The following is a 17919-nucleotide window of genomic DNA, read 5'->3' as shown; positions in this document are numbered from 1 at the left end:
TTGGAATTATAGAAGAAGAAAATAAACACGGCTAAGAGGCTTCCTTCTAAACTTGTTTTTCTTTATGAAAAGTTTGTAACAGTAATTACTTTGGGGTGCTTCTCTTTGTTTATTGTGGATCTGAAGGTGTGTACCTTATGATCATGAAACCTGGGAAATGCTTTTTCCCCAAGGGGCTCCCAAACCAATAATTATAATTAGAACTCCATTCTTTTTCTTTTATCTATATTAATTCATCAACAAGTGTTCATTTAGCTCTTTGCTATATGAAAGACATTTGTTAGGAACTGTGGGAATATAAATAATGTTCATTCCTTGTTGTTAAAGAACTGCTTTGGAAGCCAGACATATACTTACCCTAACTGCAGTAAAACAGTGGAATGCATGAGCCGAGAGCTCTGCACAGTATTTTTGGAACGGACAGGGAGGAATCCCAAATTCTGACTGGTGTACTTAAGGGAGACTTCATGGAGGAAGTTGCATTTTAACTGAATTTTCATAGAGAAAAGTAGAATCGAAGCCATGGGTGCTTGAAAATGAATAGATAGATAGGTTTTGGGGCTGGAGCCACCAGATAGGATAAAAAGGCCTGGAAGAGATTGAACAATAAATAAAATTTAAGAAGATGAGAGATCTGAAAAGAATGATTTTGGAAATCCAGGGTAAAATTAATGGAAATAAAAGTAAAATGTATTAAAATTTAAAAAAATTGGACATTTTATGAACAAAACCAACTGTGAATAAGAATTTTTATTTGAAAAAGGCAAAGATTATAAGAAACAGGATAGATGAAATCAGAAAGCCATCTAATGTAATTAGATGTAATGCCTCTTTATATAATTTCCATAAAGAAATACCCATATTTATTTAAGAATTAGAAATTGGTGGTAAGAAAAGCCAATATATCACTTACTCTTGCAGTTTAACAAACCACTCCAAAATTTAATGAGACAAAATAATTGTATTATTCTCACATTGGATGGGGCACAGTGGAGATGGTTTGTGTCTGTTCCATGATGCCTTGGGTCGTGGTTGGGGGTGACTCCACAGCTGGGGCCTGGGATCCTGTGGAATGTCTTCATTCACAAGCCTAGATCTCTGCTGGGCCATGTTACCTGTGGCCTTGGGATATTTGGATCTCATAGATGGTAGCTTAGTGCTCCAAATGTGATTGTTCCACTGGATAAGGTGGAAATGGCATCGAATTTTATGAATTACCCTTGGAGGTTATGTAATGTCCCTTCTGCTCATACTTCTGACATTCTCAGGCCCACACCAATTCAAGGGGAGGGGAATTAGACTGCCTCTGGTTTGGGGAGTGGTAGGATCACATTGTAGAAATGGGTGTGGGATGAGAGAGAACTGTTACTGCTGTCTTGGTAAATACAATTTGCTGTAGTCAACAGAAGGCAAAATAATAGGCACAAGTGAGTTCTAATGTTCTTACCTTAAGGCTCTTTTCATTTTAAGCATCTAAATTATGGCAGCAACTACCTGTTGAGCCCAATGTACTCCTTTCTCAACCTCTCTTCATTTAGTTCTGTTTTGCTTTTAGGCTGACCTCCTAAACACCAAGGTATTATAGTCCTTTCAACTCGGGGTGACTCTGACTTCCTATTACATCAGGGTCAGGTCCTTTATATATATATATATATATATATTCCTTTTACTGCAAGTTCACATCTTATGTATCCTATCTGTGTCTATTTGCATCTATCAGTATTTTATTGTATTTTTCTACTTACCTTTTTCCCCCATTCTGCTGCACGCATGCTTCTTCCTACTTCTGTGTTGTTATCTGTGGTACTCCCATTTCCCAGGTTCTCTCTTCCCTTCTCTTTAAATTTTACTGATTTTTCAAAGCCGACGTTACAGCATGTGGACATCACGCAGTCTTCTCGCCCTGGCCTGTCTCGTGTCCCCAGGTGTTTCATCTGGGTTGGTGATTTCCCAGATGTCCCTCAGGAAAAGGACACTTCTGTCTCCCCAGAGTCCTGTTTGTTGACTGACTGGTGGTGGGGGCTGTGAACATTTATTGAGTATTTACCATGGGCCAGGCTTTGCATGCATCAACTCACCTAACCGTCATGACAGCTTTATAAGGTAGATTCTGTTCTTATTTTACTTAGGAAACTTGAGGACCCAGAGGCTAAGTGAGAGCAGGCATGTGAGTCCAGAGCCCAGATAGGCAGGCCCAGAATGTAGTTGTTGTCTCCTGTACTGGACTGCCTGGTATATTCAAGAGGAGTTGTATAAGGAGTGTATGATTCCTCTAACAACATTTATTTAAATTTAGAATGTGTGTTAATTTTGTGATACAGGATTGGCAGTTTGTTACACTATGATTAACAACACATTAATCCCTTGTTAAATCTTTTCACAAGCTTATTGAATATCAATTCAGTTTTTGTTTGAGATGGAGTCTTGCTCTGTTGCCCAGGCTGGAGTGCAGTGGCGCGATCTCAGCTCACTGCAAGCTCCGCCCCCTGAGTTCACGCCATTCTCCTGCCTCCCCCTCCCGAGTAGCTGGGATTACAGTTGTCCGCCACCACGCCTGGCTAATTTTTTTTGTATTTTTAGTAGACACAGGGTTTCACCGTGTTAGCCGGGATGGTCTCGATCTCCTGACCTCATGATCCTCCCGCCTCGGCCTCCCAAAGTGCTGGGATTACAGGCGTGAGCCGCCGCGCCTGGCCATCAACTCAGTTTTATGGAGCTGGTAAATCTTAAGAATATTCTAAAAAATTACTGACATAACCAGTTTTAAGTTACTTGTTCCCCACCCCCCCGCCACCAATCATAGTTACTAGGGAAACAGAATATGCTTTCTGCTAAGCTTCAGTACCACTAGGTCCTCACTTACGAACAGGTTTATGTATGTTCATTTTAAGTTGGCTGTCTGGAACTTTGTTTCAGTGGGAGAATATATTAAACTTTGTGTTAAGGAACTTAGGCCAGGCACAGTGAAACGTTTGATTTACACATACAGTGGTATTCTAATATTGGGTCTGTAAGAATGAAAAGGGGTATTTGTTCATTGTCATTCACTGGCTCTATGTGGAACATTGTGTAATGATGCTCTTATGTTAACATCAGTTCTTACCTGGACATCAGGCGCACATCAGCCTTCTGTATCGGTAGGCACAGGAGCTTCCTCCCCTCACCCCTTTCTCTCCCTACCCCTCCTGCCACCAGCCTGACTGGAGGACTTCTTTGGCTCTAAACCACATGTCGAGCAGGTGTACTCCCTGCGAGCCTGTTGGCTGGGATCAAGGATGGGGGCTCCTGGGATTAGGGAACTGTGGAGGTAGACGTTTTCCAGTCCTGCCCTTTCTGTTTTCTGGTAATCCCAAATCACACCTGCTTGCTGCTTTTGGCACTGCTCTGCTTGGTCTCACTGTGTGTTTGTGGTGTGTGAAACATAACTCAATACAGAAACAGTTCCTAAAATGTTTAGTTTATCCAGTAGCTGGTGAAGCAGACAGCCCTGTTACCCGCTCCAGGAGAAGTGGAGCCTCCCTGGAACTCAGCAGCTCCCAGCGTGTTCCCTCCCAGCATGGTTCCTTCCTGCCCTCTGCTGGGGGTCACCACCTTTCCCTTACAGTGATTTCCTTTTATGGAGATAATGTATTGCTTTTCCATATAATTTCATCACCTAACAATGTATCCCCAAGCAAAGTTTTACCTCCTTTTAAACTTTACATAAATGAAATCATACTGATTGTGTTCATTTGTATCTTGCCTCTTTTGCTCAATGTATTTTAAGATTTATCCATGTTACCACATATATATACCACATATAAGGCTGCCACCTCACATTCATTTTTGTTACTGTGTGGTATTCTGTCATATTCGTTTGCTAGGGCTACCATAACAAATATCAAAGATTGGGTGGCTTAAACAACAGAAGTTAATTTTCTTTTTTTTAAAATTTTATTATTATTATACTTTAAGTTTTAGGGTACATGTGCACAATGGGCAGGTTAGTTACATATGTATACATGTGCCATGCTGGTGTGCTGCACCCATTAACTCGTCATTTAGCATTAGGTGTATCTTCTAATGCTATCCCTCCCCACTCCCCCCACCCCACAACAGTCCCCAGAGTGTGATGTTCCCCTTCCTGTGTCCATGTGTTCTCATTGTTCAATTCCCACCTATGAGTGAGAACATGCGGTGTTTGGTTTTTTGTTCTTGTGATAGTTTACTGAGAATGATGATTTCTAGTTTCATCCATGTCCCTACAAAGGACATGAACTCATCATTTTTTATGGCTGCATAGTATTCCATGGTGTATATGTGCCACATTTTCTTTATCCACATTATCATTGTTGGACATTTGGGTTGGTTCCAAGTCTTTGCTATTGTGAATAATGCCACAATAAACATACGTGTGCATGTGTCTTTATAGCAGCATGATTTATAGTCCTTTGGGTATATACCCACTAATGGGATGGCTGGGTCAAATGGTATTTGTAGTTGTATATCCCTGAGGAATCACCACACTGACTTCCACAATGGTTGAACTAGTTTACGGTCCCATCAACAGTGTAAAAGTGTTCCTATTTCTCCACATCCTCTCCAGCACCTGTTGTTTCCTGACTTTTTAATGATTGCCATTCTAACTGGTGTGAGATGGTATCTCATTGTGGTTTTGATTTGCATTTCTCTGATGGCCAGTGATGATGAGCATTTTTTTCATGTGTTTTTTGGCTGCATAAATGTCTTCTTTTGAGAAGTGTCTGTTCATGTCCTTCGCCCACTTTTTGATGGGGTTGTTTGTTTTTTTCTTGTAAATTTGTTTGAGTTCATTGTAGATTCTGGATATTAGCCCTTTGTCAGATGAGTAGGTTGTGAAAATTTTCTCCCATTTTGTAGGTTGCCTCTTTTCTCTGATGGTAGTTTCTTTTGCTGTGCAGAAGCTCTTTAGTTTAATTAGATCCCATTTGTCAATTTTGTCTTTTGTTGCCATTGCTTTTGGTGTTTTAGACGTGAAGTCCTTGCCCATGCCTATGTCCTGAATGGTAATGCCTAGGTTTTCTTCTAGGGTTTTTATGGTTTTAGGTCTAACGTTTAAGTCTTTAATCCATCTTGAATTAATTTTTGTATAAGGTGTAAGGAAGGGATCCAGTTTCAGCTTTCTACATATGGCTAGCAAGTTTTCCCAGCACCATTTATTAAATAGGGAATCCTTTCCCCATTGCTTGTTTTTCTGAGGTTTGTCAAAGATCAGATAGTTGTAGATATGCGGCATTATTTCTGAGGACTCTGTTCTGTTCCATTGATCTATATCTCTGTTCTGGTACCAGTACCATGCTGTTTTGGTTACTGTAGCCTTGTAGTATAGTTTGAAGTCAGGTAGCTTGATGCCTCCAGCTTTGTTCTTTTGGCTTAGGATTGACTTGGCGACGTGGGCTCTTTTTTGGTTCCATATGAACTTTAAAGTAGTTTTTTCCAATTCTGTGAAGAAAGTCATTGGTAGCTTGATGGGGATGGCATTAAATCTATAAATTACCTTGGGCAGTATGGCCATTTTCACGATATTGATTCTTCCTACCCATGAGCATGGAATGTTCTTCCATTTCTTTGTATCCTCTTTTATTTCATTGAGGAGTGGTTTGTAGTTCTTCTTGAAGAGGTCCTTCATGTCCCTTGTAAGTTGGATTCCTAGGTATTTTATTCTCTTTGAAGCAATTGTGAATGGGAGTTCACTCATGATTTGGCTCTGTTTGTCTGTTATTGGTGTATAAGAATGCTTGTGATTTTTGTACATTGATTTTGTATCCTGAGACTTTGCTGAAGTTGCTTATCAGCTTAAGGAGATTTTGGGCTGAGACGATGGGGTTTTCTAGATATACAGTCATGTCATCTGCAAACAGGGACAATTTGACTTCCTCTTTTCCTAATTGAATACCCTTTATTTCCTTCTCCTGCCTAATTGCCCTGGCCAGAACTTCCAACACTATGTTGAATAGGAGTGGTGAGAGAGGGCATCCCTGTCTTGTGCCCGTTTTCAAAGGGAATGCTTCCAGTTTTTGCCCATTCAATATGATATTGGCTGTGAGTTTGTCATAGGTAGCTCTTATTATTTTGAGATACGTCCCATCAATACCTAATTTATTGAGAGTTTTTAGCATGAAGGGTTGTTGAATTTTGTCAAAGGCCTTTTCTGCATCTATTGAGATAATCATGTGGTTTTTGTCTATGGTTCTGTTTATATGCTGGATTACATTTATTGATTTGTGTATGTTGAACCAGCCTTGCATCCCAGGGTTGAAGCCCATTTGATCATGGTGGATAAGCTTTTAGATGTGCTGCTGGATTCGGTTTGCCAGTATTTTATTGAGGATTTTTGCATCAATGTTCATCAAGGATATTGGTCTAAAATTCTCTTTTTTGGGTGTGTCTCTGCCCGGCTTTGGTATCAGGATGATGCTGGCCTCATAAAATGAGTTAGGGAGGATTCCCTCTTTTTCTATTGATTGGAATAGTTTCAGAAGGAATGGTACCAGTTCCTCCTTGTACCTCTGGTGGAATTCGGCTATGAATCCATCTGGTCCTGGACTCTTTTTGGTTGGTAAGCTATTGATTATTGCCACAATTTCAGCTCCTGTTATTGGTCTATTCAGAGATTCAACTTCTTCCTGGTTTAGTCTTGGGAGGGTGTATGTGTCGAGGAATTTATCCATTTCTTCTAGATTTTCTAGTTTATTTGCGTAGAGGTGTTTGTAGTATTCTCTGATGGTAGTTTGTATTTTCTCATAGTACCGGAAGCTAGAAGTACAAGACCAAGGTGTAGGCAGGGTGGTTGCACTCTGGGGCCTCTCTCCTTGGCCTATAGGTGGCCATCTTGTCCCGGCGTCTTCATGTGGTCTTCCCCTTAGGGGTTTTTGTGTCCTAACCGCTTCTTCTTATAAGGACACCAGTCATGTTGGATTAGAGCCCACCCATATGACCTCATTTTACCTTAATTACCTCTCCTGTCTCTAAATACAGTCACATTCTGAAGTACTGGGGGTTAGGAGTTGCCTAAAAATTTTGAGGGACATGGTTTAACCCATACCATCTATTATGTGATTATATCAAAATGTATCCATCATATTGTTTGGTGGACATTTTAATTATTTCTTGTTTTAGGCTATTATGAACAGTGCTACTGTGAACATTTTCATACATGTATAGTGGTAAGAATGCCAGAATGGAGCATTCCATCCTAGGAGTGAATTGCTAGGTAGTGCCGCACAGCTGCAGTATTAATAGATGAATTCAATATGTTTTCCAAAGTGCTTGTGTTGCAGGATCCTTGGTGGCACCTTTGCTGGAGTTTTGCTTGAGCCCAGCGTTCTGACCACTGGGCCTGGCAGGCTGAGCTCGGCTGGAGCTACTGGCCCTGATCCCACGCCGGCCAAGGGCAAGCCAGGCACAGAGTGGTGAGGGGTGCATGAGCAAGCAAGCACCAGGGTCCGGCCACTGTGCATTGCCAGGCACGCTGGCTATTGGGTAGTCTGACTTTTTCTTGCTGATTTTTAGAAATTCCTTAAATATTCTTGATACAAGTCTTTGGTTGCTTATATATGTTACAAATATCTTCTCAAACTCTGTAACTTATCTGTTTTCACTGTGTCGACAGTATCTTTTGATGAATAGAAGTTCCTCATTTTAATGTGGTCAGTTTATCAATCTTTTCCTTGTTGATTTTTTTTGAATATATGTCTTGAGAATACTTCCCTGAGGTCATTGAGATATTCTTCTCTGTTATAAAATACTTACAACTTTGCATTTAGATGTAATATATCTGGCACTGATTTTTGTGCACAGTATGATGTAGGACCTGATTTCATTTTTTTCCCTGTGGATAGTCAGCTGTTCTTACATCATTAATTGAAAAGACACTCCTTCCCCTCACGGCCTGAACCACCTCTGTCATAAATTCAGTGTCTGTAATTATGCTTCGGTCTGCTGCTGGGCACCCCGTTCTGTACTATTGATCTATTTGTCTATTTCCACAAGAGGGTCACACTGCTTTGAGTCCTATACCTTTGTAGTAAGTCTTAAAATCTGATAGAGCATTTCTTTCCACTTTGCTGTTGCTCTTCCAGAGCATCTTGGCTGTTCTTGGTTCTTTCCATTTCTGTGAACATTTTGGTATCTGCCCGTTAGTTTTTACAGATAGACCTTTTAGGAGGATCTTTATTGGAATGCTTTGGCTGTATAAGATCAATTGGGGGAGAATTGTCAATTTCATGAAAGACAAAACAAAATGAACCAAAAAGTAAACACTGGGGAACTGTTTTAGATGAAAGAAGGTGAATGAGACATAGTAACTGACTGCAATGTGTTATGGTTTGTAAAAGTTATAAAGGCTTGGGACAAATAGGGAAACTTTGCTTTGAATTGTGTATTAGACACTAATATTCCAGTATTAAATCTCCTGATAAGGGTGAGAAATGCTATGTCTACCTTTTTTCTTAGGAGATACATGCTGGGGAATTTAAGGTGAAGTGTTGTGATGCCTGCAGCTAGCGCTCAATTCAAAAAGTTGAGGGAGGAGAGATGACGAGCCAGCTAGAGTGATAATGGCAAAATGTTAGCAATTGGTGAATCTCAGTGAAAGGGAAATGGGTATTCATTGATTTTCTTTTCCTGTATATATGGCATTTTTCAAAATAAAAGTAGAAGAAAATTAAATTTCATTTTGTATCTCAGGAAATAGTAGAGCGCCAGATAAACTAGTAATGCATTATCTTAGTGTGCTGTGCTAAGCAGATTTGCCACTAAAAGCACTAGTGAAATGGCAAGCATGATTGGTTATTTTAAAAATTCTCTAGTATGTTTGAACTTATTCAGTTCACATTTAAATCATACTGGAACAGCAAATGTCTGTGGGCTGGCTCTCCAAGTAAAAAATACATTAATGAGCTTTTTGTGCCAATTACTGATTTTCAGGAAATGTTCTTTAAACTACTGATAAGAGTTCTGGAGATCCATGTCATACTAACAGGTGAGCAAAGTAATTCATAGGAGTTACACTTGATGCAGTGTAATTTTGTAACACCAGGCTAAGTATTTTTTTTTTGAGAAGCATTTCCGGTGCTTGAAAACTGATATTTATATTTTTCATGAAGAATCTCAGATTCTTTGTTCTCATAGTAGGTATCTTCACAGTCTTTAAAGAAAACCTAGGTGGTTTTTGGTGTTTTTTTTTTTTTTTTTTTTCAATTTTTAGTTACTGCAACAGAGGCACATAGGAATTTAAATGATTCCATGAGTCATGCAGTGAATTGGTAATAATACTAATGGACACACAGTTATTGACTCTTCTTTGCATTGGCCTCATTTTTCCCCCAAATGTTAATATGTCATTTCTCAGCAAAATTATTTGTAAAGTAAAACATCTAACAACACCACCAAAATCTTGTAACAGCAAAAGGAAGAGCTGAGCTTCTGAAGATCAACCTTCGTGAGGTCGAATTAGATCCTGATATTCAACTGGAAGATATAGCCGAGAAGATTGAGGGCTATTCTGGTGCTGACATCACTAATGTTTGCAGGTATTTTTTTAATGATCTGTGATTTTAGACATTAGTTATAGACTTCGCAGGAGGACTGGTCTTAAAGTCAATGTAGTTAGCCCAGTGTAGTTAGACATGAAAGCAGCTACCCATTTCTTTAAAATGGTTTCCCATTTGTCCCTTTTTTTTTACATATAACTTTATTTTTCATTGTGAGATGAAAATTATATAGCAGTGGTCGTTGATGTTTTTGATCTTTGGATTTTTAAGAAATTGTTGTGTCGGTGGCTTACGCCTCTAATCCCAGCACTTTGGGAGGCCGAGGCGGGTGGATCACGAGGTCAGGAGATCGAGACCATCCTGGCTAACACGGTGAAACCCCGCCTCTACTAAAAAATACAAAAAATTAGCCAGGTGTGGTGGCGGACACCTGTAGTTCCAGCTACTCGGGAGGCTGAGGCAGGAGAATGGCATGAACCCGGGAGGTGGAGCTTGCAGTGAGCCGAGATCGCGCCACTGCACTCCAACCTGGGCAACAGAGCGAGACTCTGTCTCAAAAAAGAAAAAAAAAGAAATTATTGTGTCTAACTCGATAATAATGACTTTGACAACCTAAGATTAGTTTAGCTTTGTGTTGGAGCCTTTCTGCATCAACCTAAAGTAATATTATTTAGTTTTTGTTGGCATTATTTAAACACATGCAAATGAGCAAAAATGATCAGCGTAAGCTGGGGAAGATACACGTTTAAAATTTTTTCAGTTTAGCGACATCATAAGTTTTAGACAGTTCCTGTCACTGCAGTTATTTTTTTTCTTATTTTTCTAACTGCACTTAAATTGACTTTAGTAGCCTTTCTTTAAAGCCACAGCATCTGTTTTTCTCACCTTTTCTGCTCGCATTTTTCCCATGTGCATCCAAGTTTAGTGGCATACAATAAGGTTGCAATAGTTCCTACTGCTACTATAGCAAAATATTTAAGAACTTGACATTTTTGTTGGCTTGGCCTTCCTAATAGCTTTTTTGTGATTATGAATTATCCTTTTCTTCCAGACCTTCATATTTATTTATAGTTGGTCAAAGAGAGCTGCACATGGGATCAAGAGAAGCCAGAGTTTATGCCTTCAGTTGCCTACAAATACTCCATGTAGGGAATTCCATGTCCACTATATGTGGATATTCATGTTTCAGAGGGAGTGATTCGTGTCTTTATTCCTCTATTTAGGCTGTAGACAAACTGGTCTGTGGTTTGAATTATCTTAACATTAGCCATATGTTCATTTCCAAGTGTACAATTCAGTATTTCAAAATTTGACTTCAGTTTCCTAAACTTCTTGGCTGTCTTTGAGGAGCAAGTGGAGAAAAGAAAATTCAGTACTATTCGAGCTTAACTTAGACTTTTAGGGTTCGTTAACTATACATTTCATGTTTTTGGTTGTTTGCATCCTGTCTTAACTTCTGCTGAACCCCCAGGATGTTTCTTAAGTGGAAAATTCTAAGAAGCCTCATAAAAACATATAAAATAATCTTTTGATTTTTTTTTCATAACTTTGTTACAATTGAAAGTGTTTAAAACATGTGCAAAAATTACTGTTGACTGATTTTGGTATATTTTTAGGGATGCCTCTTTAATGGCAATGAGACGGCGTATCAATGGCTTAAGTCCAGAAGAAATCCGTGCACTTTCTAAAGAGGAACTTCAGATGCCTGTTACCAAAGGAGACTTTGAATTGGCCCTAAAGAAAATTGCTAAGTCTGTCTCTGCTGCAGACTTGGAGAAGTATGAAAAATGGATGGTTGAATTTGGATCTGCTTGAATTTCTGTCAGCTCTTTAATTTCTGGTATTTTTGTTGATAAAATACGAAGAAATTCCTGCAATTTTTAAAAAACAAGTTTGGAATTTTTTTCAGTGGAGTGGTTTTCGCTTAAAGGAAAAAAAAATCTAAAACTGCGAAGAATACTAAATGTAGTTGAGAAATAATTGATGGCGAGAGTTTGCTAGTCTCCCTCCCCGGCTTTGTGCTGGTATTCCACGTATTCCTGCATTAATATTGCACACCCAAACCAGTCTATCAGGGAGGCTGAAGCAAGGGCGCAGTGTGATATTTTAGGAATACAGAAGATTTAGAAATACCCCTATTTCTCATTTGCAGTTTTTTTTTCCAATTCTGTGCTCTGTCAACATGAGGGACCTATCTATGTATGTTGACTTTTAACATCAAAATTGGATTTGTGTCAAACATTCATTGTTAAGAGAAGAATGACAGTATATTTTGGAGGAAATAATGAATTTACTAATTAAACCTTTAGAATTTATGACTTACTGTTAGAGTCTGTCATATGGTTAGAATTTTTACTTCCGCTACCCCTGCCATTTCTTCTGCTAGCTACTTCATAATATCTTGAGCTTTACTGAGGAATATTCTCACGCTCTGTGGTATTTGAATCATTTTGCCAGGTCATTTCTCTGTCTTTAGTATTTTTTGCTGGTGCTTCTTACATTTAATATGGAAAGGTGGGAAGAATATTACTGCATTAGATGTAATTCTTCATTCTAGACTTCCAAGTTTGTTTTCACTTTTTTGTGTGTGCGTGAAGGAGTCTGTGTCACCCAGGCTGTGTAGTGCAGTGGTTGATCTTGGCTCACTGCAACCTCTGCCTCCTAGATTCAAGCAATTCTCCTGTCTCAGCCTCCCAAGTAGCTGGGATTACAGGTGCGCACCACCATGCCTGGCTGTGTTTTCACTTTTCTTTCAACATGTTCAACCAGATATATAGCCATTATTTTTCTCAGCTCCAGCATTGTTTGATTTTTCTTGAGTTTGATTTTAGTATTTGAGATAAATACTTTTACATTCTAAACAAGTCCACTCTCTGTGGCTAACGCAAAACAAATGAAATCTTTATTGTTTTCCAAACAGCTAGTTTAACAAAACAGCATCATACATAGTGAATGATGTTCATTGGAAAATTCTAAAATTTGTCCTTGTCTAGGTTGAGAACTTTTACACACACTAAGATAAAGATAGAAATCTGACATGCTCACTCAATTCAGCAGGAATTACACATTAGAAAGAAGCCAGAAAAATAAATGGCATATATCCAATCACAAGTAAATGATCCTGGCGTTAGTTTTTATGATTACATGTGTCTCATTAGGCAATTTATGCTTTAATGGTCAAGCTTTTAAAAATTTGTATTTGATAACATCCTGAATTCTCAGTTTCGAATAGTGCCTACTGGTTTAAAACTAAAAATAATACAGCTTTTTGGACATTTAACCAAGATACTAAGAAGGTTTTTTTTAAAAAAAGAGATTTGATTATTTTTCCCTGCTAAAAACTGTAAATGCCTTATGTTCTTTTCAGATAACTTAAGTCTGACCTAAACTCCAGTATTCATCTGATGCTGTAAATTGCCCTTCTTTCTGAGACACAGATTATAAGATGCCAGATCATAAGACATCATGATTTTATTGTAATTGAATTCTTCCTAAAAATTGAGAGGTTTCCTTTTATTAACTTTTAAAATAAAGAAATAAGTAGTTTCATTACGATTATTTTGCAAACTATTGCCAGTCAGAAATGCACTTTTTTTTTCCCTGAAGTTTTAGGAGCCGTCACTAAAACATTAGTCTTGTGATTGTTAAAACTTGTTTGTAATGGGTTGGTGCAAAAGTAATTGTGGTTTTTCCATTACTTTCAATGGCAAAAACCGCAATTACTTTTGCACCAGCCTAACAATAGTTGATTAGTTAGACCTTTTCTGGGTTTTGTATTGATTATCTTGGTGTGCATTTAATTATTTTTCTGAATTCTTCATGGATAATGACATAGTAATTGTGATTCTTTTAATACCAGTTAAGCAGTATTTGGCAACTTAAACTTCCTGGGAGCCTAACTTTACTATGTTAAGTGAGTCAGGTGTGCTTTTTATTTCCCTTGTTTCTCATTTTGCCCTGTCAGTGGATGGTAGATGCTTTGTATATCTTAAATCCCTTAAAGGATCTTAAAGACATCCCTCAGGTGTTCTATTTAACTTTTATTTTATTTTATTTTATTTATTTATTTATTTTGAGACTGAGTCTTGCTCTGTCGCCCAGGCTGGAGTGCAGTGGCATGATCTCGGCTCACTGCAACTTCTGCCTCCCAGGTTCAAGCCATTCTCCTGCCTCGGCCTCCTGAGTAGCTGGGATTACAGTTGCCGCCACACCCGGCTTATTTTTTTGTATTTTTAGTAGAGGCAGAGTTTCACCATGTTGGCCAGGCTAGTCTCGAACTCCTGACCTCAGATGATCCGCCCACATTGGCCTCCCAAAGTGCTGGGATTACAGGTGTGATCCACCGCACCTGGCCCTAACTTTTAATATACAACACACACACACACACACACACACACACACACACACACACACACACACACACACACACTATTTCAGAAGACAGTGTGTTGCCTTACCCAGAATGAGTGCTAGGATTACAGGCGTGAGACAGACACACATACACACACATACACACACACAGAGTCTTTATTGCAGAAGACAGTGTGTTGCCTTATAGGCGTGAGACACACACACACACACACACACACACACACACACACACAGTCTTTATTGCAGAAGACAGTGTGTTGCCTTACCAGAATGAGTGCTTGGATTACAGGCGTGAGCCACTGTGCCCAGCCCTAACTTTTAATGTACATCACACACACACTCACACTCACATACACACACACACACACACTCTGACTGTCTTTATTGCAGAAGACAGTGTGTTGCCTTACCCAGAATGAGATTGAATTGTTTTGCTTCGTTTTGTTTTGTTATTCAGTGTTGCGGTAGCAGATGCATTATCAAAGGAAAAATATTTGGCTCCTTTAATTCCTCTGAAAACATGAGTATTTTGAGTTCTGCAGCACAATGACTGTAGGACTAAGCTAAGTCTGCTTTGCAGATATCTGATCAGATAGTCCCTTCATTCTGTAGACGTGTATTGGTTGGTCCAAGACACAGTGAGTAGGAGCTCTGTGGACCAAGACAAAGCTGGACTAGAGAGTACAGTTCAAACTTGGCAGTTTCTCTAACGACTCTGTATAGCTTCTGGCTTCTACTACTGAAACAAGAGTTTAGATCACTGATGGAGAGGCATAGTAATCTGTTTGTGCTTTGGAAAAATATATAAAAGTTTTTTTCCCCTATTTTTTGCACTTTAAATCTGTTTTGAAATTAGAACTGATATACATTTATTTGAATAATGTGTAACTATTATGGATCTATTTTAATGAACAATTTTTACCATTTCCCAAGCTGCCTGTTTATTATAAGCATGACATGTTTACTATAAACCTTTTGCCCCCATAATTTCTTTTTTTAAAGGAAATTAATATTAGTAAAATAAACACCTCTTTAATGGAAGCTGCAACCTTCTAGTGATCCAAGTAGACAATAGATGGTGGCATCACAGACTTTATCTACACACTTTCGGGTCTGACCACTACCTCCCACAATACCTAGCCATTTTGGAAGGGGAAAACATGCGGTGGTCTAGCTGTATAGCTCAGGGCTTAATTTCAGCTTCTGAGATTGTGATGTCATATTTCACTCTCAAAACATAGGCTGAAAGCACGAATTACTCAAAAAGTAAGCAAACCAATACCTGGTGAATCTATGGACAGTCATACACATACATCAGGGGAAAATGTGTGTGTACAACCCAAATTTACAGTATGATTGTCATTCTTTGACTTTGTTTTGTATAGCCTGACTCTGTTGAACATGAAATTATTAGTACTCTAGGTTTTGGACAGCTTGAGTTCATTTGAATTCCTTCCTTAGGAATAAGTTTTTATATACACTGCTAAATGTGTGATGAGAATCATAAAACACTAACCAGCTGAGGTAGCTGTGATTCACTTTCCCCCCACCCTAACTTGAGATAAAATGAAGGACTAGGCAAGTATTTCATGTTGTGTGAGTGGACTTCGGTTCCTTCAGTATTGTCTAGGTTATTGAGTCTTTCTTTGCCTAATAGTGGATTCCCACTCTTAAGATAACTTTTATTAGTGATAAATCAGTTTAGGGTATATTCTGTATGACAGGCATAAAATGTTAAGGGTGAATGCTGGCCTTTTCCAAGAAAAGGCCACCTTAACTTGTATGAGGAAAAAATCCTAACTATTCTCTTTTTTGTATCTTTTTTTCCGTAACTGTTTTGATTGTATATTTTAAAGAAACCACTTAATTTGTGATGCACGTAATATTTGTGTGAACCTGAGAATATGTCACAATAGGAAAAAGCAGAAATTATACTTAGGGGACATGTTAGGGGGGTAAAAATATTTAAGCCTCGAATGTTTTACTGTCATCTCCACTAACTATTTTTACAGAAAAAGCTAAAAACTCTGTTGTAATTATTGTAAGTTTACTTATTTATACTTTTAAATTAGGCTTTTCATACTTAAATTTTTTTGACATTTGCTTTTAATATTTGTTTCTTAATGTGGAAATTGTGTATTTTAATAATCAAATTATTAGGATAATAGATATATTTTTAAACATTCACCTCATTAACAAATAGATCTTTGAATTTTTATTAGGTTTTTTGGCTCCAGACAACTGTTTAGCTTTAATGATATTTCTAAATTCCCAGTGACTTATTAATAAAAACAGGAAAAATATTTAGGTAATGTCATAAAATTTATTTTACCTTTCTCATTTTCTGAGAAAATAAATGAAAAAAACCCTAGATATTGCTTTATTACCAACAGTGTGTAGGTTTTTGTACATATGGAAATTTGACACAAAAAAATAGGGAATTTGTATAGAGAAGTTTCCCTCTTATAAAAGGACTCCCATTTGATTGTTCGAAACTATAAAATGCACTTTTACTTTACCATATCTGAAATGACAAAATATCGCCCTTTGGAAAACCTGACTCTTTGCACGTGTAATTCCCAGAGTCTACCTCAGTTAACCAGGCTTAGTTTTAGGCAGGAATGAATTGAATTAAATTCAGTTCATCATCTATGCAGATTTGTTTCTTTTAAGCACATCCTTCCCTCCTGCTGTTGCCCTCCTCCCATTAACTTTTCTTTTTAATCTTGAAATTGTTTAAAATATTCCATCTTTCTTTCTCTAGCAAAGTGTTTGTATTCCAAATAAGGCCTCTGTGAAATGTCTGAATTACTTTTCCCGTCTTTGTTATGGTCAGCTTCATTATTTGGATGTATTGCATTCAAAGCAGCAGTTCCAAACATAACACACATCTATTTTCTTAGAGTTTTGTAAATACAAACTAACCTGATGACATTAAAAATTGTGGATCCTACATGTTCCTATGTTCATTCTCTAAAAACCTGAGTAACTTTATGAAAACACACAAACCTGGAAAAACATCACATTTTTGTCACATTTTTACTGACAAATGTATATTCATATGATGGTACGGCAGCAGGGAGTGGCCCCCAGTTAACATGGCTGTGAGTGGACACAGTGTCTCGCAGGATCACTGCATGTTATGATGGCTTGTAAGTGCGTTGTTAAGACTTTTGTTTCAGTGTTTGTCTCCCAGTATTTGAACCTAATTTAAAGAAAAAGACGTTTCCAAGTTGTATTTATTAAATGTGTTTTTCCTTACCTTTTGTGCTGCTACTTTGCTAATCTCATTAGCTTAGCTGTGTTTGTGCATAGGTTATATTTGGTAATAAATTTATAGAGTGTTGGTTGTCATCGCTTTCTTTGTGGTTCATTTTGACCTATAGTCACGGGTGCACTTCTTGCCACCAGTGGGAGCAACAAACCCCTCACTAGTAAGGGATGGCTTTCCCCAGATTTTTGTTCTCATAAAATCACATATTATAAACCTGACATTTTGTATTTGCTGTGCTTATGCCAATAATTTCAAGGTTGATGCAGGTAAGATGTGTGTTTTTTCAGTTAATTCCAACTGGCATAATCAATACACTTGTCTTATTTGTGTAGCACCATTGCAAAGTAGATGTTCCATATGGTGCATTTTCTAGATGACTAAGTCTTACTTTATGACCTCCTCCAAACAATTTTTTTAGTTAATAGACTTTATTTTTTTTAGAGCAGTTTTATGTTTACAGAAAAATTGAGCAGAAAATTTGGAGCTCCCATTTACTTACAACCCCCGCCCCAGTTTCTCCTCTTACTAACATCTTACATTAGTGTGGTATATTTGTTATAATTGATCAACTGATGTTGATGCATTATTATTCAGTAATTGACAGTAGTTGACATTAGGGTTCACTTTGTGTTATACACTTTTATGGGTTTTGACAAAAGCATAATGTCATGTATCCATCTTTACAACAGCAGACAAAATCGTTTCACTGCTTAAAAATTCCCTGTGTTCCACCTATTCATTTTTCCCTCGCCTCCCAATTCC

The 17919-nt window shown here is 38.0% G+C and overlaps 1 protein-coding gene across 8 annotated transcripts in view, besides 1 other annotated feature; it reads left to right on the top strand.

Moving 5' to 3' along the window:
- KATNAL1 (katanin catalytic subunit A1 like 1) overlaps positions 1 to 17237 on the top strand; it is a 104922-nt gene extending 87685 nt beyond the window's left edge. For all 8 annotated transcript variants that reach the window (NM_032116.5, NM_001014380.3, XM_024449424.2 and 5 more), the window contains 2 exons: positions 9425 to 9551; positions 11129 to 17237. In NM_032116.5, the coding sequence (NP_115492.1) occupies positions 9425 to 9551; positions 11129 to 11327 (326 nt within the window). In that variant the 3' untranslated portion in view covers positions 11328 to 17237. The remainder of the gene's footprint in view (positions 1 to 9424; positions 9552 to 11128) is intronic.
- Positions 15173 to 15222: a silencer, noted in NCBI's record as "silent region_5227". NCBI's record gives its function as "represses an Ori minimal core promoter by ATAC-STARR-seq in GM12878 lymphoblastoid cells {active_cell/tissue: GM12878}" and the evidence as "EXISTENCE:reporter gene assay evidence [ECO:0000049][PMID:35858748]".
- Positions 17238 to 17919: the final 682 nt, after the last annotated feature.

This window comes from Homo sapiens, chromosome 13 (assembly GCF_000001405.40).
Source record: "Homo sapiens chromosome 13, GRCh38.p14 Primary Assembly".
NCBI classification, from domain to species: domain Eukaryota; kingdom Metazoa; phylum Chordata; class Mammalia; order Primates; family Hominidae; genus Homo; species Homo sapiens.
Note: the sequence above shows the minus strand (reverse complement) of the source record. Positions and strands in the feature narration are given on the sequence as shown.